Source organism: Homo sapiens, chromosome 2, assembly GCF_000001405.40.
Source record: "Homo sapiens chromosome 2, GRCh38.p14 Primary Assembly".
NCBI classification, from domain to species: domain Eukaryota; kingdom Metazoa; phylum Chordata; class Mammalia; order Primates; family Hominidae; genus Homo; species Homo sapiens.
The window spans coordinates 88,318,495-88,341,077 of NC_000002.12; the positions used below are offsets into that span (position 1 = coordinate 88,318,495).

At 41.7% G+C, this 22,583-nt stretch overlaps 3 annotated features.

Moving 5' to 3' along the window:
- Window positions 11,385–11,893: an enhancer, noted in NCBI's record as "NANOG-H3K27ac hESC enhancer chr2:88629398-88629906 (GRCh37/hg19 assembly coordinates)". NCBI's record gives its function as "activates a minimal SCP1, AML or CMV promoter by ChIP-STARR-seq in naive and primed H9 embryonic stem cells {active_cell/tissue: H9 hESC(naive and primed)}" and the evidence as "EXISTENCE:reporter gene assay evidence [ECO:0000049][PMID:30033119]".
- Window positions 11,664–11,713: a silencer, noted in NCBI's record as "silent region_11730". NCBI's record gives its function as "represses an Ori minimal core promoter by ATAC-STARR-seq in GM12878 lymphoblastoid cells {active_cell/tissue: GM12878}" and the evidence as "EXISTENCE:reporter gene assay evidence [ECO:0000049][PMID:35858748]".
- Window positions 12,403–12,910: an enhancer, noted in NCBI's record as "H3K27ac hESC enhancer chr2:88630416-88630923 (GRCh37/hg19 assembly coordinates)". NCBI's record gives its function as "activates a minimal SCP1, AML or CMV promoter by ChIP-STARR-seq in naive H9 embryonic stem cells {active_cell/tissue: H9 hESC(naive)}" and the evidence as "EXISTENCE:reporter gene assay evidence [ECO:0000049][PMID:30033119]".

A 22,583-nucleotide genomic window follows, 5' to 3' on the forward strand; every position in this document is an offset into this window, starting at 1 on the left:
ATACATGTGTCTTCTCCAGGTGGCACTTGGCTTCCTTCCAAAATGGTGGCTGGGTTCCAAGGGTGAGCATCTCAAGAGACCCATCCAAAGTTGTGTTACCTTTTAAGTCTCAGCACAGAAGTCACATAGTGCTACCTTCCCAACTGTCACAATCCCAACCAGATTCAAGGGGTGAGACGGCAGGTGGGGAACATGGATGTAGAACACATGGGATGGGACACATTGTTGCAGCCATCTTTGGGAAATGCAATCTGCCACATACATATTCATCACTTACAGACATTTATGAAGTATGCTCCATATGCTGAATACTGGGTTTACAATGGTGAATCATACAGATGGGGTTTCTGTTGCCATAGAGTTTGCATTTCAGTTGGAGTGTTGTCGGGGGAGGATTTAGACACATAAACAAATACATAAGATAAAACCTGTATGCATGGGTTACAAGGAGGATGCTGTTTATATACATCGGTCAAGGAAGGCCTTTCTGGGAACATAACAACTTTCTGAGGCTGGACTAACTGGAAGGAGGCATCTGGGCCAGCAACTGTGGGCAGCATGCTCCAAGCAGAGGGAATCACGAATATCATGGGATAACATTGGCATGTCAATGACACAGGAAGAAAGACCATGTGGCTAGCATGGAAAGATCTCAGGGTGCAAAGTAACGATGGAGAGGCAGATGGGGGCCAGATCATATAAGGATATGCTGAACAACTTGGATTTGACTCCTGAGTGCAACAGAAAGCCGTTGGAGACTCTTCAGCAGTAGCATGATCTAAGTTACATTTTTTAAAACATCATTCATTCTTTCAAAAAACGAAACTCTGGTATCCTACTTTGAAACCGAAGTGTGGAGAATTCTATCCACCACCACAATTTTCATTCATTCATTCATTCTTTTGTTCGTGACACTTTGCAATTATTATATAGTCAGAAATAACATATGCATATAAATCAATATGCTGAAATTAAGTATTACAAGTGTTAAATCATGTCTTTCAATTAATACATATATATTGAATGCCCCCCAAATATTGATATTAACAAGCACTCTTTGCCTGGAGCTTGGTGGAGGAAGATAGGACAGTAAGGATCCTGGAGATGCCGATCTGTGGCTCCTACAAGCCAGGATTGGCTGTGTGTGCTTGGAAATCACAAGCTGCAGCACTTAACCTGGATGCATTAAAATATTTTACCTTTTTTTTTTCTGTCCTGAGATGGGGGTCACACTCTGTCACCCAGGCTGGAGTGCATAGGGCATGATCACATCTCACTGTAACCTGAAACTCCCGGACTTAAGCGATCCTCCCGCCTCAGCCTCCCAAAGTGTTGGGATTACATGTGTGAGCCACTGCACCTAGCCCTTTTTTACTATTTGAACATTTGACTCTAGCCTTTCCCTGCTGCCAAGACAAGGTCTAGGAGAGGCCACAGACGTGAGCTCCAGGGTAGGCTGGTTAACTATTCAGGTGGATCATGGTAAATGGAAACCCAGCTTTAATCTAGTGGTTCTGCCCCGGAAGTCCAGTGTGCGTTCACAGGTGGCCGGCAATGTCACCTGAACATTCTGCATAGATTTTCCTTGGAAAAGAGCTAGAGAAAGTGGTGTCCCTGCCACCCCACACAAATCTGCTTGATGACTGGGCCCAGTGGGGAGGGGATTTGCTCAGCATGCTGGGTGGAAGCTGCCCTGCCAGAGAACTCCAGCTTCAATTAAAGCCATTAAACAGGATGAAGCCAAGGACCATATCCCCTGTTGGGCCCCTTCCACCAGAAGTCTGAGCTAGCAGAGCTGATCCTTGAGGAGGGGGAGTGCTGTGAAAGCCTCCAGCCAGCAAGCGTTAATGGGGCCAGCACCCACTTTCCACTCAGCAGAGCTATGCCCAAATAAACAGCCCATTTCCCACCATCCCCCACCCCAACCTCACCAAAAAAAGTCTCGGGTTTAAGACACAGTGGGCCAGCTTAGGAGGAAATATTCCAGAACACACTTTACTTGCAATCACTCTCTAACCAAGTCCAGTTAGGCCTCTAGGGTGACCAACCATCTGGTTTGCCCAGGACTGAGGGGTTTCCCAGGTCATGTAATGTTAAAATTGAGAAAGTCCCAGGCACATCAGAAAGAGAGGGTCACTCCACCTCTTTACCTCAATGCCCTCCAGCTGTGACACCAAAACAAAGACCAGCTGCACTCTTTCCCCAAGCTGCTGTAACTCCTGGGAGTCACCAATTTATACCCAGTTGTCTTAGATACAAACCCTTTCCCCTAGATTTCCCTGTAGTATCATTAGCTACCATTTATTGAGTGCTTACCACCAGGAGCTGCGAAAAACACTCTCCAATTATTATTTCTATTAATCCTCTTATTAATCTTAAGAGATGAGCAACTTTATTCTTATTTTGTAGATGATGAAACTTGGGTTACAAGGGCTTCAGTAATTGCTCGAGATCACATCAAAAGCACGTGGCAGGCCGGGCATGGTGGCTCACACCTGTAATCCCAGCACTTTGGGAGGCCGAGGCAGGTGGATCACTTGAGGTCAGGGGTTTGAGACCAGCCTGGCCAACAAGGTGGAGCCCTGTCTCTACTAAAAATACAAAAATTAGCCGAGCATGGTGGCACGTGCCTGTGATCCCAGCTACTCAGGAGCCTGAAGTTTGAGAATCGCTTGAACCTGGGAGGCGGAGGTTGCAGTGAGCCAAGATCGCACCACTGCACTCCAGCCTGGGTGACAGAGTGAGACCCTGTCTCAAAGAAAAAAATAAAATAAAATGAAAAATAAAAGCATGTGGCAGAGCCAGGTCTCAAGTCTTTTTGACCTCAGAGCATGTGTAACTATCATGCCATTCTGCCTTCAAAAAGGACTGATTCACTGGATGGACAGTACCTGTCCTTGGGGATGCGAGCTTATGTCTTGCTGTGACCACAGTTATATGTATATAAGATGGATGCCCTTTTTATGGGATTTGTGTTCCTCTGCTGCCCAACCTATTTTTCTGAGAGGAGTCTTCTTCCCTAGCCAGAAGCAAAGTTTCTGGGGATTGGAATAAATCAGAGCCAGCTCACTGGGCCCATTTCAGACCACATGGTGCTGCAGTGCTATAATGCACAATGGGATCGGGGCTTTGCTTTTGTGATCCTGTGTCATGTGGTTTTAGGTTTGAGGCTACCCACGTCAGGCGACTGCAGATCCACTGCTGCTGCAGCCCTCCTCCTCCTCCTCAAAATCCCCCGCCAGCAGCCCCTGTGGCAGCTCAGGCACCTCTGCTTGCAGTAAACATGACCTTTGCCTTCCACCGCCAACATGACATTGGCATGTCGCTGCTGATCTGTAAACACAATTGTGTTTTCAGTCTTCTCACTGAATTTTGTTACCAGGATCCTAACAGGCAGCAGGTCTCTGTTTATCTGTAAACAGCAGCCCCACTCCCTGGCAGAGAGGTTAGGATGCTGTTTGTTTTTATTACTTTACAGTAAGAGGAAAAGGTGATTTGTGACAGGCGTCCACACTTCCCCTTCCTATCCTGCACATCTGCAAAGATAATCCCTCCTTCTTTCCCAGTGCACACACAGATTCATACCCTAGATCAGAGGAAGGACTGGAACAGGTCTCTTACCTTTTAGCATCTCTTGGAATGACATGGAAGAGCCTGGTGGAAATACTTCAGAGAATAAATGTCCAGTGCCATGTAGAATGCCAGCACAATTCCCTGCATGGAGGAAAGGACTACTATGAACAGCTCCCCAGGAAACTCAGCCTAAGGCCCCAGAAGCACCGGGTTCTCCTCCTGACGGTCACTCATCATGGGCAGCCCTGGACATAAGTGTGTGCCTTGAGATATTTGCATATTTATGTCAGTGTGTCTTGGAACCATTTAAAGTCTTTCTACAAAACTTGAGTTTTCTGTTTAAGTGTGTGGATTTCTCTTTCTCCAAAGTTTGTGTTCTAACTAAAAGACTACAGTCTTTTCATAGAAAGCAGAAATAATCTGGTGAAATGAAGTTCTCTAAAAAAGTTTCCAGAGTAATGATTAGCTTGTAAAATTTACAGTTGTTATATATAAACTTCAGCTTTTATTAGTTCTGGCTATGGAAAGCAAAAAGTTAAATTGGTATCTCCTCTTCAGCAAAGCTAAGTTATCGGGGACATTGTGATTTAGGAAAATTTATAGCTTCACATGCATAATAGTGTAGAGAACGTGATGGTAATTTCCCTTATCTCCTCTATCTTTGGGAAACTGGAAAAGGAAATTAAAGCATTTATTCTGATTAGATGACAGGAGCAAAAAAGAAAAAATACTGGCCGAGCGTGGTGGCTCATACCTGTAATCCCAGCGAGGCAGGCGGATCACGAGTGAGACCATCCTGGCTAACACGTGAAACCCCGTCTCTACTAAAAATATACAAAAAAAAATTAGCCGGGCGTGGTGGCGGGCGCCTGCAGTCCCAGCTACTCAGGAGGCTGAGGCAGGAGAATGGCATGAACCTGGAGGCGGAGCTTGCAGTGAGCCGAGATCCCGCCACTGCACTACAGCCTGGGCGACAGAGCAAGACTTCATCTCAAATAAAAAAGAAAAAAAGAAAAAATACTAATAATTTAAAAAGTAAAATGCTGGAAGTTTGGGGAAAATATATGACTAATTGAATTGCAAAGAAATATTTAAAATCAAGTCTGTTCATAGGAATAATTATTCTAGTTAGTAAAATGGGGAGTTGAATGGTTTTCTTTCACTGTCCTAAAGGAAACATCTTTTTAACATAATGTGATTAAAACAATTTTATAGGGTTATCAAAATATATTTTGTTGAGGTAGACAAATAGAATAGTTTTTTTTTTTTTTGAAACAAAATCTCACTCCGTTGCCCAGGCTGAAGTGCAGTAGTGCGATCTCAGATCACTGCAACCTCCCCTCCCAGGCTCAAGCAATTCTCCTGCCTCTGCTGGGATTATAGGTGTACGCCACCACACCCAACTAATTTTTTTATTTTTAGTAGAGACTGGGTTTCACCATATTGGCCAGGCTGGTCTCAAAGTCCTGACCTCAAATGATCCACCAGCCTCAGTCCCCAAAGTGCTGGGATTACAGGCATGAGCCACTGTGCCCAGCCAATAATAGATAATTTAAGAGTAAATTCAGTTGGAATTTACAAATCTAAACTTAGAAAGTGATAAAATATCTAGTTCAACATGACTGAGCATATGTGCTTAAGTGAAATAATGAAATGCATAATTTTAAAATACATTTATAACAGCTTTGAAAACAAGACATGGTGCCATCAACAGCCCAGAAATTTTAAGAGATTTGGTGGAAATTAGAGAACATCTGTGATTAGATTCACAGAGAAAACAGACATCTGATGATGCTGGTTTGCAGACTACACTTTGTGTAGCAAGAATTACAGACAATATACTTCAACCACAACTCCTGCTTTAGTCAGAGTTCCCATACAAATAGACCCTAAGTCAAAGGTTCAAGAACCAGTGGTTTACTCTCTGGGTGAAGGAAACACCAGTTAGAAAGTGTGGCAGTGGGCTGGGTGCTATGGCTCACACCTTTAATCCCAGCAGTTTGGGAGGCCAAGGCGGGCATACCACTTGGGCTCAGGAGTTCAAGACCAGCCTGGGCAACATGATGAAACCCCATCTCTACTAAAAATGCAAAAATTACCCAGGCGTGGTGGTGAGTGCCTGTAATTCCAGATATTCGGGAGGCTGAGGCATGAGAATCACTTGAACCCGGGAGGTGGAAGTTGCAGTGAGCTGAGATCAAGCCGCTGCACTCCAGCCTGGGTAACAGAGCGAAATCCTGTCTCAAAAAAAAAAAAAAAAAAGGAAAGAAAGTGAGACAGTGAAACAGAGGCAACAAGGCAGCCAATAAACATGTATTATCAAGTCAGTTACCACTGTGGCCACCTGGAACTCAAGGACCCTGGAGGAAACTCTGAGAACCAGTGCTAAGTGTGTGCCTCATAGTCATCCCTCACAGGAGGCAAGGGTACGGGAGTACCATGCACCCATTTCCAACATTAATCTGTTAAATGTTGTTTCCTATACAAAGGTATTAAGAATCTTAAAGCAGCTACTATTGCTATCCCTAATGAAGTAAGGTAAATTTTGCTCACAACAAATGAAAAGAGCAGAGAAAAATACAGCGTAAAAGAACCAAATGGAAATTCTAGAACTAAAATACGTAATATCTAAAATTTACATGTTCAAAATGATTAACAGCCAAGTTGAGGTAATAGAGGAAACAGTAAGTGAACTTGAAGATAGATCAATAGACATTAGGGAAAAAACAAAAAGCAACCAAAAATTACACATTAAACATTATCCAATATAAGAAACACAGAGGAAAAAAAATAGCAAAAAGCTGAATAGAGCCTTAGGTAACTGTTAGATAATATCAACTGGTTTCATATATATGTAAGTGTAGTAACCCCAAGGAAAAAAAGAGAAAAGGAAGCATAAAAAATATTTTTAAAATAATGGCTAAAAATCTGTCAAATTTTATGGAGAATGTAAATTTACAGATTCAAAATGCTCAATGAACACTAAGCAGAATCAACATGAGAAAGGCCATACCGAGGCACATCATAGTTAAACTTTTGAAAACCTAAGATAAAGAGCAAATCTGGAAAGCAGCGAGAAATGACAAATTATATGCAGTGGAACAATGATGACAGTGGACTTATCATCAGAAACTACACAGACCAGGAAAGAGTAAGAAAAGCATCTTTAAAGTACTTAAAGAAAAAACTGCCAGACCAGAATTTTATATCTGGCAAAAAATATCCTTCACAAATAAAGGTAAAATGAAGACTTCTTCGCCAGTAACTCTCACTACAAAACAAAATGCCAAAGGAATTATTTATGCTAAATGAAAATATTACCAGATATAAACAAACATTATTAAAAATAAGTAGAAAGCATTGGAAATGGTAAATATCTGGGTAAATAAAAATACTAAGTTTTTTTGCTTCTTAATTTCTTTATAATACATATGGCTATTAAAAGCAAAAATTGAAGCATTTTCTTGTGGGATTTATAACCTATACAGATATACAACATATAACAAGCCTGGGCAACACAGCAAGACCTCATTTCTACTAAAAATAAGATTAAAAAAAAAAAACAAAACAGGTGTGTGTGGTGGTGCATGCCTATAGTCCCAACTAATCAAGAGGCTGAGGTGGGAGGATCCCTTGAGCCCAGGAGATTGAAGCTGCAGTGAGCTATGATCATGCCACTGCACTCCAGCCTGGACAACAGAGCAAGACACTGTCTCAAAACAAAACAAAACAAAAACAAAAACAAAAACAAACAAACAAAAAACAGTTTGGGCGCAGTGGCTCGTGCCTGTAATCCCAGCACTCTGAGAGGCTGAGGCAGGCAAATTGTTTGAGCTCAGGAGTTCGAGACCAGCCTGGGCAACATGGGGAAACCCTGTCTCTACAAAAAAAAAAAAAAAAAAAACTAGCTGGGTGTGGTGGTTCATGCCTGTAGTCCCAGCTACTCAGGAGGCTGAGATGGGAGGACTGCTTGAGCCTGGGAGGTGGAGGGTGTAATGTGCACTCCAACCTGGGTGACAGAGTGAGACCCCCGTCTCAGAAAAACAAAACAAAACAAACAAAAAACCATGACAGTCATAACATAAAGGAGATGATGGCGATAGGAACCTATACAGTTCCAAGGTTTCTGTATTTTTTCATGAAGTAGAACAAGAGTAACTGTAAGTAAACTGTAAAAAGATAAAAATGTATATTGTAATCCCCAGGCCAACCACTAAGGGCAGAAATTGTAAAAATGAATTAAAAAGCCAGACCCAGTGCTATGGACTGAACTGTGTCACCCCAAATTAGTATATTGAAGCCCTAACTCCCAGTGTAGCTGTATTTGGAGTCAGGAAATAGGATTAAGCGAGATCATTAGAGTGGAACCCTGATCCAATAACACTGGTGTCCTTCAAGAGGAGACACCAGAGAGTTTACTCTTTCTCTCCACTATGTGAGAACACAGGGACAGGCAGCCACCTGCAAGCCAGAAGGGAACCCTCACAAGAAACTGAATTGCTCAGAGCTTTGACCCTGGGCTTCCTGGCCTCCAGAGCTGTGAGAATACAAATTTTCATTGTTTAAGCCATCCAATTTATAGTATTTTGTTATGGCAGCCCCCGAGCTAACTAAGACAACAATTATCTTCTTTCTTTAGAAGACACATTGAGGTTGAAAGTCAATAGACAAGAAAGTGCATACTATTCTAACAGCGAGCAGAGAATAAAGCTGAAGTGACTATAGTAATATCAGATAAAATAGATTTCAAGACAAAAAGTACTACTAGAGATAGAGGAACATTTGATAATAGTAGAAAGAAAAATTCATCAGGAAGACAGTAGTCATAAATATGTATACACCAAATAACAGAGTTTCAAAATACATGAAGTAAAACTTCCCAGAATTAAAGAGAGAAAGACACAATTTTGCAATCATATTTTAAAATGTTAACACTTCTCTCCCTTATCAGCAAGTATATAAAAATCAGACCAAAACAAAAAAACCATCAGCAAACACATAGACAAAACGAGTAACACCATCAACCACTTTGAACAGTCCACCTATCAACTGCAGAACACATTCTTTTCAAGTGCACGAGGTATGTTCACCAGAATAGAATACACACTGTGCCATACAATAAGTCTCAATAAATTTTAAAAGATTAGAATAGACCTGGTGTGGTGGCTCACACCTGTAATTGCAGCACTTTGGGAGGCTGAAGGGGGAAGATTGCTTGAGGTCAGGAGTCCAAGACCAGCCTGACAACATATCAAGACCCCATCTCTATAAAAAGAAAGAAAGAAAAAAGACTAAAATCATATCAGCTATGCTCTCTGGCCACAATGGAATTAATTAGAAATCAATGACCATACAAATAACTAGGAAAAAAACATACATCTGGAAATTAAGCAACATAGTTTTACAGACAGTGTTTACCACCCTGGGCTGGACAATTTCTTGTTGTGGGGAGCTATCCTATGCACTTAGGAAGCTCAGTAGCATCCTTGTCTATTCCTACTAGATGCCAGTTGTACCCTTCTAATTGTGAAAACCAAAAATGTCCCTAGACATTGCCAACTATTCCCTGGGGGACAAATCACCCCAGTTGAGAACCATCATTCTAAGTAATTTATAGATTGAAAAAGTAATCACATTAGAAATTAGAAAATATTTTGAATTGACATTTGTGGAATGTAGCTAAAGCTATGCTTAATGAGAAATATATAGCATTAAACTAAATGCTTATTTTAGAAAAGAAGAAAGACCTAAAATGAATGATTTAAGCTCCCATCCTAAGAAATTAGAGAAAGAAGAGCAAATTAAACCCAAAATAAATTGAAGGAAGAAATAGTAAAAATAAGAGCAGAAATCAATGAAAAGCAAAATTAACAAAGAATAGAGAAAAAAAAGGCTCATCCTTTGAAAGGATCAATAAAACTGGTAAAACTTTAGCAAGGCTAGTCAAGAAAAATAGAGAGAAGACACAAATTACCAAAATGAGAAATGAAAGAGGACACCACTGGATATTTTAAAAATTATAAAAAGAATTTTAAAATATTTTAGGCCAGGCACAGTGGCTCACACCTGTTATTCCAGCACTTTGGGAGGTGAGGCAGGAGGATTGCTTGAGTCCAAAGTTCAAGACCAGCCTGGGCAATATGGTAAGACTCCATCTCTACAATTATTTTTTTTAATTAGATGGGCATGGTGATGCACACCTGTAGTCCCAGCTACTCAGGAGGCTGAGGTGGGAGGATTGTTTGAGCCCAGGAGGTTGAGGTTGCAGTGAGCCATGTTCATGCCTCTGCACTCCAGCCTGGGTGACAGAGCAAGATCCTAGCTCAAAAAAACAAAACAAAACAAAAAACTTCTAGAACTTTATGCCAATATAATTGAAAACTTGAATAAATAGACCAACTTCTTGAAAGACACAAATTTACAAAACTTCCTCAAGAAGAAATAGAAAATTTGAATAGCTTAATATCATATAAACATTTTGACTTCATAATTGAGAACTTTCTCACTGTAAAAATCCTAGGCCCAAATGGTTTTAGAGTAGTCCTCTCTTATCTTTGGGGGATACATTCCAAGACCCCAGAGGGTGCCTAAAACCATAGATAGTACTGAACCCTATATATAGTATGTTTTCTCTATCTGATAATCAAGATGGCTTCTAAGTGACTAACAGTGTATAAAGAGTGGATATGCTGGACAAAGAGCTAATTCACATCCCAGGTGGGATGGAGCGGGATGGCCAGAGATTTCATCATGCTTCTTAAAATAGCATACAATTTAAAACTTATGAATTATTTACCTCTGGAATTTTCCATTTAATATTTTCAGATCATAGTTGGCCATGGGTAACTGAAACCACAGAAAGTGAAACCATGGATAAGCGGGGACTACTGTACTTATGAGTTCTATCAACCATCAGAAGAGAATGGATATCCATTCATCCCCTTCCATATGTAATATAAAAACTATGGGCACCACAAGGGATTTGTGAACATGATGTACAAAAATATGTGGGCTTGAAAAAAAAATCCCCAAAATAAGAAGGGGCTCTGCATATTAACCTGTGTCTTGGGTAGTTGGGTAGCATCATCCTGGATGTGGTACCCATATCTGTACGTTGGCCTCATGCCTTTAACCAATAACCTAATATTTGACCATGTCATGGACCGGAATCTTCAACCCAAGAATCTCAGCCTAAATGCTAAATGCAGTCCTTTTTATTGGTAAGAAATGTTGCAAATCTAGGGAAATATATTTATATGCACATACGTACATATTCATGCACATACATACACATACATATACATAAGTGTGTATTGTATATGTATATATGTGTATGTAAATATATACATTTTTATTTTATGTTAATTACCTTTCTATTGCTTGATTTGGGTAGAATTCTGCCCTTCCCCTTCTCTGCCTGCTTCCCTCCCTGTACCCATGGCTGCGGATCTCCATGCTGCATGATTGGAGTTAATTGTGCACACTCATGCATGCACACACAACATCCAGGTGATAACACTCCCTTCATAATTTGTTTCATTACCTGACCTACCAGTTACTGTCTTATAGCCAATATACTGATCCATTTCATTTTTGTTTGTCTCTACCTGCCAATGTCAGCCAGCCTAACAACATTCTATGTTTCTTATTTTACAGATGAGGTTCCTAGGTTAAGAGAAGCAGTGGCCTTTGCCCAAATCTACCATTCACTAGTAGGCACCGCACCTAGGCCCCTGTGGACTGCATGCTGTATTCTCTCTTCCAACATTCAACCAAGGCTTGTCCTCCTCAGCTATAGACCAAAACCATTTTCCTTCATCAAAACGTGTCTGTCCTAGCTAATTCTGTCAAACACTTTTGTGCTATGAAGCAGAATTAAAACTAATAGTTTAATGAGTAACGTGCATTTTCACATGAGGATGAAATACTAATCCCCAGGGAGTGAGACGGAAGATGATTTGCTGACCACATTACAGGTGTAGGTGTTTGGGGACCGTAGTGGGAGGACAGAAGTTCCAGTCACTCAGGGATAAGCCACCCTGCCGCATCTGAAGAACATGCCTTTAGGCTCCTGGGAGTAACTGATGTTGAAAAGTCCCAGGCTTAGCAGGTCCTCCCCACCTCCTCTCTTCCAGGAAGCTCAGTCCCATAGCCAGACAGCTCTCTGTTACCCAACACCCAGCCTGGGAGCGGCCAGCCACCCAGTTTATGCTGTCGGTGAGCTCATTAGAATGAATGAGATGAGTCAACATTCACACAAAGACCTTCTGGCCTGCAATCTGAGAAGAGGTTTAGGAAGAACAAAGCAAGGGGGAGAAATGTAACCAAGAACTATCTCTTTATTGCTTTTGAGTTGTTTAAGGGGATTTTAAGGGATTAGGGCTAAAGAAATGTTGACTGTAGGGAGAGGAGCAGGGTATCAGTTGAACAGAATAGAGGCCTTTGTGCTGACTAAGAGGAGAAGCAAATGAAAAGAATATCTCAGCAGCCTGGCTGCTCGCAGTGAGAGAGGGCTAGAAGTCAAAGGTGAATAAGAATGCCAGGTTTTCAGCCTATAGGGAGAAGTCAAGGCATAGGGACCTTTAGGGTCCCTGTTGGTTAGGAGTAGTCGGCTGAGGACTACCAGAGTTACCCTGGCCCCTGCCTCCATTCTCCTCCCAGACTTTTTATTTTTTATTTTTTAGATGGAGTCCCACTCTGTCGCCCATGTTGGAGTGCAATGGCACCATCTCAGCTCACTTCAACCTCTGCCTCCTGGGTTCAAGCGATTCTCCTGCCTCAGCCTCCTGAGTAGCTGGGATTACAGGTGCCTGCCACCAAGCCCAGCTGATTTTTGTATTTTTAGTAGAGACGGGGTTTCACCATTTTGGCCAGGCTGGTCTCGAACTCCTGACCTCAGGTGATCCACCTGCCTTGGCCTCCCAAAGTGCTGGGATTACAGACCTGAGCCACCGCGCCTGCCCTTCCTCCCAAATTCTTGACTGAAACCCTAGGAGGAAACTCACCACAAGCACTGAACACAAAGAAGGGCTAAGCCCTGGGAGACATGGAGGCAACGTGCCAGGGGACCCAGGGAACCAAAGGGTCACAAACAACTTCAGTGAGGCATATAAGATACATCTTACAGTATGATAGGCTCCATCCTGTTCCTTTCTTCTCTTTTCTCATTTCCTACTTCCCTGTAGGACTTTCTGTTTCTATCATTGTATCCACCCATGTCTGCCTGTCTTGATCCTCTCCCTCTTTCTCATTCGTGTCTGTCACTCTCTTATCCTCTGGATATGCTCCCCTGCCATAGATACTATGGCTGCAACCCCCCCAACTCCCTCAAATGGATGCATGACCAAGAGGGGATTTCCACTGATGAGAAATTTCCTCACCAGCCCCTTCTCTCTCCCCACCTGCTGCACACCCACAGTCAAAGGCATAAAGAACAGATAAGGGCTCTGGGCAAAGGAATTATTTATGCTCTTCTTTCAAGTAAGCAGCCTCAGAAAGCCCAATAATACTTTCTATTTTTATCCTTCACCAGATGTTACCCTCCCATTCTTCCAGCAATCCTGCCAGGTAGAGTTTACCTTCACTGGAAAAATTCATCATAGCTATGGAGGCGGCACGTTGGAGGAGGGGATGCCTTACTTTTTCCTCCATATAGACCTGTCTGCCTTGGAACTATCCATATTTGTTTCCTTTTTTAAAGCCTGTTCAGGACTTTCCTTATTGCTGGAAGTTCTCTCTCTCTGATTGGTCCTGCCATGATCAATTCTGCCTTCCCTCTGTACCATTCATTCAAAGACATGGGTTGAGGCTCTGGCGCTGCCACTGGGAAGCTGTGTGGGATGGGGATGAGGGCTGCTTACCCTCCTTGACTCTTTTTCTCAACTTTCAGATGATGAGCTGTGAGGGAATTGTTAAGACTGTAACTCTAGTTGGAGTTTCATGTGACTCCTTGGAGGGCAGGGACATTTAAATCACCAGGGAAGCTTAGTAAAGCATCATCCATTCTTATCCAGGATGTGCATCAGAATCACTCATGAAGTTTTTAAAACTTAATTTCACATAAACATTGCTCCATTCCAGAAAATTCTGATGCCACGGTTTTGAGGCAGGGCTTAGAGATTTTTCTTTCTAAATTTACCTGATTATTCCTAATGGATTGACAGACCAAATGACATAGATCTCCTTGCTTGTGTCTCCAATACCAAGTGAAACGGATGTATCTAGTTATTATCTCACTATTAAGTTTACCTGAACAACCACAAGTACCAAAGAGGATAAATCTTGACAGAAAAAAGAAACCCACAGGCTCCCTCTTCTAGGCCCTGATTTTTTACTGGAAACTTGGGTAACGTTTCAAATTGCAACAGCCAGAGCCAAAGACAATCTATACTCAAGCTCAGAGAGTTTAATTTATCCACTCTGACAAAAGCTTTAATAGCAGAAGTCAGGGAGAGCAACAGCCGGATGCATGACATAGGACGTAAGAAAGCTGCTTCTCCGTTTTCTCTGTGTTGTAACTTCTTGCGAACGGATTGGAAGGAATTTGTCAGGTATTGAGGGTCTGTAGTGAGGTGTATGGAGGTGGGTTGGAGAGAGGTTGATTTCCAGGAGTGAAATTTATCTTAAAGAATAGGCTGCAGGTAAGGGTGGGAATGGGTAGGTAGTACATACTCAGTTCATTGTGGCTGAGACTAACATTTGCCAGGCCATGAGATGTCAAGCCTTAGAGTTTTTGTTTTTTGTTTGAGACGGAGTCTCACTCTGTTGCCAGGCTGGAGTGCAGTGGCGCGATCTCGGCTCACTGCAACCTCTGCCTCACGGGTTCAAGTGATTCTCCTGCCTCAGCCTCACAAGTAGCTGGGATTACAGGCACGTGCCACCACGCCCAGCTAATTTTTGTATTTTTAGTAGAGATGGGGTTTCACTGTGCTGGCCAGGCTGGTCTCAAACTCCTGACCTCGTGATCTGCCTGCCTCGGCCTTCCAAAGCGCTGAGATTACAGGCTTGAGCCACCGCTCCCAGCCTGAGCCTTAGAGTTTTGTCTATGCATCTCCGCCTATTTAGGTTCATGCTCCTTTCTATGAAACTCTAGGACTTTCACAAATGCATCAGCCTCAAGAGGAAAGCTGAGGAGAGTGGCAGGGGGTGATTCAGAGGGATGAACAGGGACCTCATTTGATAAGACCTTTAGACTAGGATAAAGCATGTTCACCTTATAATATTTGTGTTAGTAAAGCTTCAGAGGGATTTAATGTGCTCTGATTTATGTTTCTAAAAGAATATCTGGCTGCTGCATAGAGGATACAGTATAGGGGATTGGCAAGAGCAGGAGAAGGGATACCTTTTAGAAGGCATGGGCTGGGCATGGTGGCTCACGCCTGTAATCCCAGCACTTTGGGAAACCAAGGAGGGTAGACCACCTGAGGTCAGGAGTTTGAGATCAGCTTGGCAAACATGGCGAAACCCTGTCTCTACTAAAAATACAAAAAAATTAGCTGGGTATGGTGGCTCATGCCTGTCATCCCAGCTACTAGGGAGGCTGAAGCAGGAAAATAACTTGAACCCAGGAGACAGGTTGCAATGAGCCAAGACCGCACCACTGCACTCCAGCCTGGGCGACAGAGCAAGACTGTCTCAAAAAAAAATGAAAGAAGCCTTTACAGATGTCCAGGCTGGAGAGTCTGGTGGCTTCGACCAGAGTGGTGAGATGTGGAAATATTTTGAGATATTTTTATTAGACTTGCTGATGGATTGGATATGAAGAGTGAGGAAGAAAGAAATCAAGGGTGATTTCTGTGTTTTTATACTTGAGGAACTGCTGGCAGGTATAATTTACTGTAATGAAGAAAACCTAGGGAGGACAGACTTGGGTGGGTGATGTGAACATAGAGAATTATGAGTCCCATTTTGGCCATATTAAATTTGAGATATACTTAACTTGTCAAGTGGAGATATCAAGTAGATAGTACAATATATGTCTGTAATTCTCATCATAGGCCAGGGTAAGAGGTATGAATTTGAGGTCATTAGCATATAAGTAAGGTTTAAAGCTATGAACTACATTATCTGTAGTGACAGTATAGGCAGCAAAGAGATGTAAACTTGGGCTGCAGCTCTGGTTCATGCCAAAATTTCAAACAGACCAAAGCGTCCATATCGGCCAGGGTCCATTTGAGAGAACAAAACCACACTCATTATTTAAATAGATAGAACGTGATATAAAGAACTGTTAACTAGACACACTGTTGTCAATTAGCTTACAAAAAGGGTACAGATACCAACATTAAGTTAGCACAGATATAGCAACTGCAGTAAGCAACTGCCACCTCAAAGACTTAGGGAACCAAAAGAAGACACTGGAATATTGAAAACTTAGAAGCTTAGATAAGGGGCTCCACAGAGCTAAAACTCAGGCCTCTGAGCTGATGTTCCTGCCCTAGTAGGGCTGGTATCTCTGAGGTGGGTACAATGAGGCTTGTTCTTCAAATACTGGACAAAGTGCAAACTAGAGTCAGCTTCTGCCAACAGAAGGAATTGCTGCTGCCGGGATGAAGAAGCCTCCCTGGGATGATGCTCGCAGGCGTCAGAAGAAAACCAGCTCTAGTGCTTTATATTGGTAGAGCCTAACAAGGGAGCCAGTAGGCAAAGCAAAAAATGTAGTTTCCAGATTCCCAATGCTACTATCACAAAGCTGAGTAGAGAAGGAGCTGAGAGACAATAACTTACTCACAGGCACTCTTCTACACATATATGAATATTCATACAACAAAATAATTCTGTGTTTCGTTCCTCACAGCAACTATCCAGATAGACAGATCTTCTCACTACCCCAAAGAAAGAGATGCAAAGCCCAATGGTCACGATATTCTTCTCTGACATATGTTAATTACTTCTCAAATGTATTCAAAATCTCATTTGAATATTCTGTTATCTAAGTACTAAATTGTGAAGTTAGCTTCTAACAAAATTTGTATACAATAGTAAGGGAGGCCGGGCGTGGTGGTTCCTGCTTGTAATCCCAGCACTTTGGGAGACTGAGGTGAGAGGATTGCTTGAGCCTAGGAGTTTGAGACCAGCCTGGATAGCATAATGGGATCCCATCTCTAATAAATAAATGAATGAATGAATGAATGAATAAATAAATAAAAATACTAAAGGAAAGGAGGAGAAAGAAGAGGAAAATAATATGTTACACACACACACCAATGAGAAAGCAAATGCGCACAGCTGTTACAGTCTGAATTCTGCAAATGGTCACAAGGCTGCAGCTGATGTTCACGAACTTCCTTCTTCCACTACCCATCCTGTTTTGTCTTCAGCCAGAACCTCAGCTGATCAGGGTCCTTTACCTGGTAGAATAGCACAGATCTTCATTCTTGAAAGGTCTGAATCTTCAGTGTCTTTGACATTTTTGGTTGCTGAAGTTTTCTATTACCTTTTACTAATGAACATGAAAGTAAAGTCACGTGCCACATAATAACATTTTCGTCAGCAACGGATTGCATATATGACAGAGGTTCCATAAAATTATAATATGGTATTTTTACTCTACTTTATTCTATGGTTAGATATGTCTAGACACACAAATACCCTTGTGTTGCAATTGCCTATGGTATTGAGTACAGTAACTTTTTTTTTTTTTTTGAGACAGAGTCTTGCGCTGTCACCAGGCTGGAGTGCAGTGGTGCGATCTTGGCTCACTGCAACCTCCGACTCCCTGGTTCAAGCGATTCTCCTGCCTCAGCCTCCAGCGTAGTTGGGATTACAGGCACATGCCACCATGCCTGGCAAATTTTTGTATTTTTAGTAGAGACAGGGTTTCACCATGTTGGCCAGGATGGTCTCGATCTCCTGACCTCATGATCTGCCCACCTTGGCCTCCCAAAGTGCTGGGATTATAGGCGTGAGCCACTGCGCCCGGCCGAATACAGTAACATTCTTACAGGTTTGTAGCCCAGGAGCAATAGGCTATACCATATAGCCTGGGTACATAGGTGTATTAGGCTATAACATCTAGGTTGATGTAAGTACACTCTGTTACGTTCACACAAGCATGAAATTGCCTGACAAATTTCTCAGAATGTATCCCCATCTTAAGCAACACACAACCTGTACTTAGAGATACCTCAATGTATCTTTTATGTTCCAAACATTGACCTTCATGTTCCTGTTGTGTAGCCACAATTTAATTCCTTCTTGGTAACCAAGATCAATTACTCTATCTCCACAAAGAAGAGTAATACCCTTCCTTGTCTCTTGGGTCTTTGGTATGAGAAACTCAAAGTGGCCAAACAGTTTCATCTAGGAAACCAGTGGAACTATAGATGTGTCTCCTGGTAGAAGCATTCTTTTAGGGGGAATAAAAATTTCAAAGTCAACAGATCTCAGGCCAGGCATGGTGGCTCACGCCTGTAACCCTAGCACTTTGGGAGACTGAGGCGGGTGGATCACCTGAGGTCAGGAGTTCGAGACCAGCCTGGCAGACGCAGTGAAACCCCGTCTCTACTAAAAATACAAAAATGAGCCAGGCGTGGTGGTGTGTGCCTATAATCCCAGCTACTCGGGAGGCTGAGGCAGGAGAATTGCCTGAACCCGGGAGGCAGAGGTTGCAGTGAGTTGAAATTGTGCCATTGCACTCCAGCCTGGGAGACAAGAACAAAACTCCATCTCAAAAAAAAAAAAAAAGAAAGAAAAAATTGGGAATGAGAAACAAATTCTACAAGTGGGCTGTTAGATGTGATAGTAAGAGGACTCACTCCCATTTCTACCTCTTGATTTTCAGACCCATGTATCCTGGCCATGGGAGTGGTAGAAACATAAATTTATCTCCAATTCAAAGCATATAACTCTTTCTATAATATATAATCCTATCTGTTTTATGTATTTATGTGTAGAAGAGTTTTTTTCTCTCCTTGGTTAACTGGTTATAAGGAGCGCATGAAACCACTAGAGTATACTGATGGAGAGAAGGCAATGCAGCAGAAACTGATGTTGGAAAGAGTCTGGGGATCAAAAGCCTCAAAAGGAAAAGCAGTTTGAAGAGCTGACTAGACTTCCTGCAGAGCCTTTGCTTGCTTTGATCATCATTCAAAATTTATAGCCTTCCATATTACTTGGTAAGTGTGTCTAAATAGCACATTCAAATATGGTAGATGTTATTTGTAACACTCAGAAAAGCCTACAAAGCATTGCGTCTCTTTTATTGTGGTAGGTGGTACATAGTATAGCAACTCATCTTTCACCTCAGGGATAGCCTGATGTGCTCCAGACCATTAGATACCCAGAACCTTCACTGGAGTGACAAGCCCTGAATTTCCATGAGGTTTATTTCCTACTCTCTGATTTGCATAAGTCTTATTAAGGCATCTAAATTAATGCTAATTCTAGTTCACCAGATCAGATCAACATAATGTTAACAAGATTGTAGACCAGTGTGGTATCAAGAGGATCGAGATTGTCTCCAGCATGTATTATGGCACAGAGCAAAACTGGTGAAGCCCTGAGGCAAATTTGTGAAGGTATGCTGTTGGCCCTGTGGGATAGAAGCAAGCTGCTTCTGATGGTCCTTACAAATTGGTATAGAGAGAAAAGTATTTGCTAGGTCAGTAGCTACATGCCAGGTAATAGGAGCTATATTGATTTTTGTTTCTGGTGAAGTTTCTATATATTAAACCACAACTTGGAATAACTGCCTGATAAAGTTTATGATAATGTACAGTCATTCTCCAATATCTATCTGCCTTCTGCATGGGCAAACAGGAAAGTTAGATGTGGCTTCACCACCTCAGCATCTTTTAAGTCTTTGATGGTGGTGATAATCTCTGTAATTCTCTCAGGAATATGGTATTGTTTTTGCGATTACTATCCTGACAGAGTAAGTTCCAGTGGCTTCCATTCGATTCTTCCAACCATCGTGGTCCTTACTCTATGGGTCAGACAGCCAAGATTGGTATTCTTCTAGTTACTAAATGTGTCTATCCAATTTACATTAATTAACTGGGGAAATAACTATACAATTGGTCCATGGACATATTGTACCATCTGTGATTTGAAATTGATTTAAGAGTCCATATGTCACCTGGCCACAATAGCCCTTATTTTATTGGTGGCACTGTGGCATTTTGAGTCTCTAGGAGTCAGCATCAATTTAGAGCTAGCGCCTAGTAATTCCTGAAAGCTCTGGGTAATTCCCTTTTCTTAGTAAGTGAGAAATTCTATTAAATGATTCTTATAATCATTCTAGGAAATGGCAGAAAGTTTTTTGGGAGAAGTCTCCAGTAGGTACTTCAGCGTAATCCAACACACATGATGCCACTGTGTGCCTGGATACTAGCATCCAATTTTCCATTGGCAAGAAATGCAAGGCTGTGACTGAACCAATCCCAGAATACCATCTTTGAGAGTCTGTTTCCTGAGGCCACTTTTGCTACCAATTTCTGTATGTCAGTGACCATCCAGATGACACAATCTGCACCATTACTTAAATAGAAAAAAGATAATGTTAAAAATGCTATGTAGGTGTACATTTGTTAAGTAGGTAACTAGAAGGGTAAATCCTAACGTTAAAGGCATAAAAAATGTAAGAATTACAGAAAGCTCCTATCATTCTCAGGGCTGAATGAGCATAAAAAAGAGGCTGGAAATATTAATGCTTAGAAACTTAGAAGAAAGGCACCAAAGAGCCGAAACTCAAAGCTCTGAAGAGGTACTACCTAGCTGGTGTTGATATCTCTTAGCTCAGAGGAGGGTCCCTGTGAGCACAGGAACTAGACCTTTAAGGAGGGGACACCAGACAGCTGGTGCTGGTGTTTCTGAATGAGATATGATAAAGCTGGTTCTGCAAGTATTAGAAAAACTGCAAACTAGATTTAGCTGCTGCTGTTGTAATAATCCCAACTTCTTCCTTTCATTATTCCTGACTTGGAGTTTTCCCTATTGTATGGATTAAGTAATTTTTGTTTTGTTTTATTTTGTTTTGTTTTGAGACAGGGTCTGGCTCTGCCACCCAGTGCTGGAGTGCTGGAGTGCAGTGGCACGACCATGGCTCACTGCAGTCTCAACCTCCCAGGCTCAAGCGATCCTTTCATCTCAGCCTCCTGAGTAGCTGGGACTACAGGCGCATGCCACCACACCCAACTATGTTTGTATTTTTTGTAGATACAGGGTTTCACCATGTTGCCCAGGCTGGTCTCAAACCCTGGGCTCAAGTGATGCACCCACCTCTGCCTCCCAAAGTGCTAGGATTACAGGCATGAGGCACCACACCCAGCCAGATTAAATAATTTTCTAGTAGGCTCTTCATCTGTTTCATTCCTGGGGATACTGTGATCAATCAGCCACTAACAAAAAGGAGTCAAAATACCTTGATGCTTGCTCTACTACTGTTTCCCATTGCTATAAATGTGCCTACCTTATCTCTGGTAGTTAAAGTCTGCCACTTGGTATCTACTATACCCAAATCTCATCATCTTACTGAAATCTCAACTGTGCAAGTTCTATTGTCATACATACCATAAAGTTTTAAACACCGGTGTTCCCCTCATGCATATCTTTCTTAATTTCTTGGTGAAAATTGTGTCCCCTGGCTTTCTAGGGTGATGCAGTAAAAGAGGGAGATATCAACACTCTCGTCCTCTTTGTATTCCTTTTTTTTTTTTTGGCATTATGTCATCATAGATGCTGTAGCATCTCAAACTCATAAAATTATTGTTGAGTCCAAAATTCAATGAACTAAGTAAACTGTTAGAGCCACTTTCAGCTACTTAAGTAGACAGATAAAATACAGAATCTCGGGTAAGAGTACTCATATCAAATTTAGCCTGATATAAATTTGCAATCTATCCCTTGGAATAATTCCCACATATATTCTTCATGTTACTGTCAATTTATATTTGCAAAATATTGCAGTTTTTTGGAATTATAGCTTATAAGTCAAACTTCATGTTTGTCCCCTAGAGCATTAAGAGATATGACCCTTATTATAGGTAGAAGAAACAAAGGATAGTTGGGATGTGTCATGATATTGTTACAGTGTCTTCAAGCAATGATAAGTGATTCTCCTCAGATATGAGAGTGCAGGTTATATCAACTGGTAAACAGAAGATCAGAATGGCTTAGAGGTTCAAGATTCTCAGCTTCATCTCTACCAAGATATCCCCCTTCCAAGTCTCAGGGTCCTCCTACTTTCCAACCAATGCCCTGATATTCATGCAAGAGATTGGATAAGGCTGTAGTTTATAGTTACATAATAATTCTTCAAACTGCACTATTCAATTTTGCATCAGTTTTCATGGAAGTTAGTCCTGTGACTATAAGAAATGAGATTCCTTTTTAAAATGTATTGTTATTCACATGATTGTCAGTGTGCAAGAAATGAGATTCCTTAAGGCTGCCATAGAAACTTTCTGGTTGTGTCACTATAACTTGATCTGGGAGTTCATAGCCCTAAACCTGTTATTTTCTTTCTATAAGCATTCCAATATACTCTGAAGCAACCATCCTACTCCATAGTCTTTGTAGCCATTATTACCATCATAAATGTCAAGTACTGTAATTGTTAGTAAGCACTGACAACAAACACAGATGATAGTTGGATTATTTGCATTACCACTACACGCTGTGAATTACCTTCTTCCCATTTCTCACTGGCAAGGACCTCAGCACTGCATTCAAGTTCAAGAACAGGACCCAAACAATATCGTATCTTTGAAAGTTTGCTTTCTGGGACCATTCCTGGAAACAGAAACCATACCAGTTATTTTGGCAGGGAGAATTTAATATAAAGAATTGCTAACCAAGTATTGGAGAACTGAAAAGGCAAAAAGGACACACTGAGGTATCATGAAAGTAGTAGCTCCAGAGAACTACAGACCACTGCTCAGCGAAATAAAAGAGGACACAAACAAATGGAAGAACATTCCATGCTCATAGATAGGAAGAATCAATATCGTGAAAATGGCCATACTGCCCAAGGTAATTTATAGATTCAATGCCATCCCCATCAAGCTACC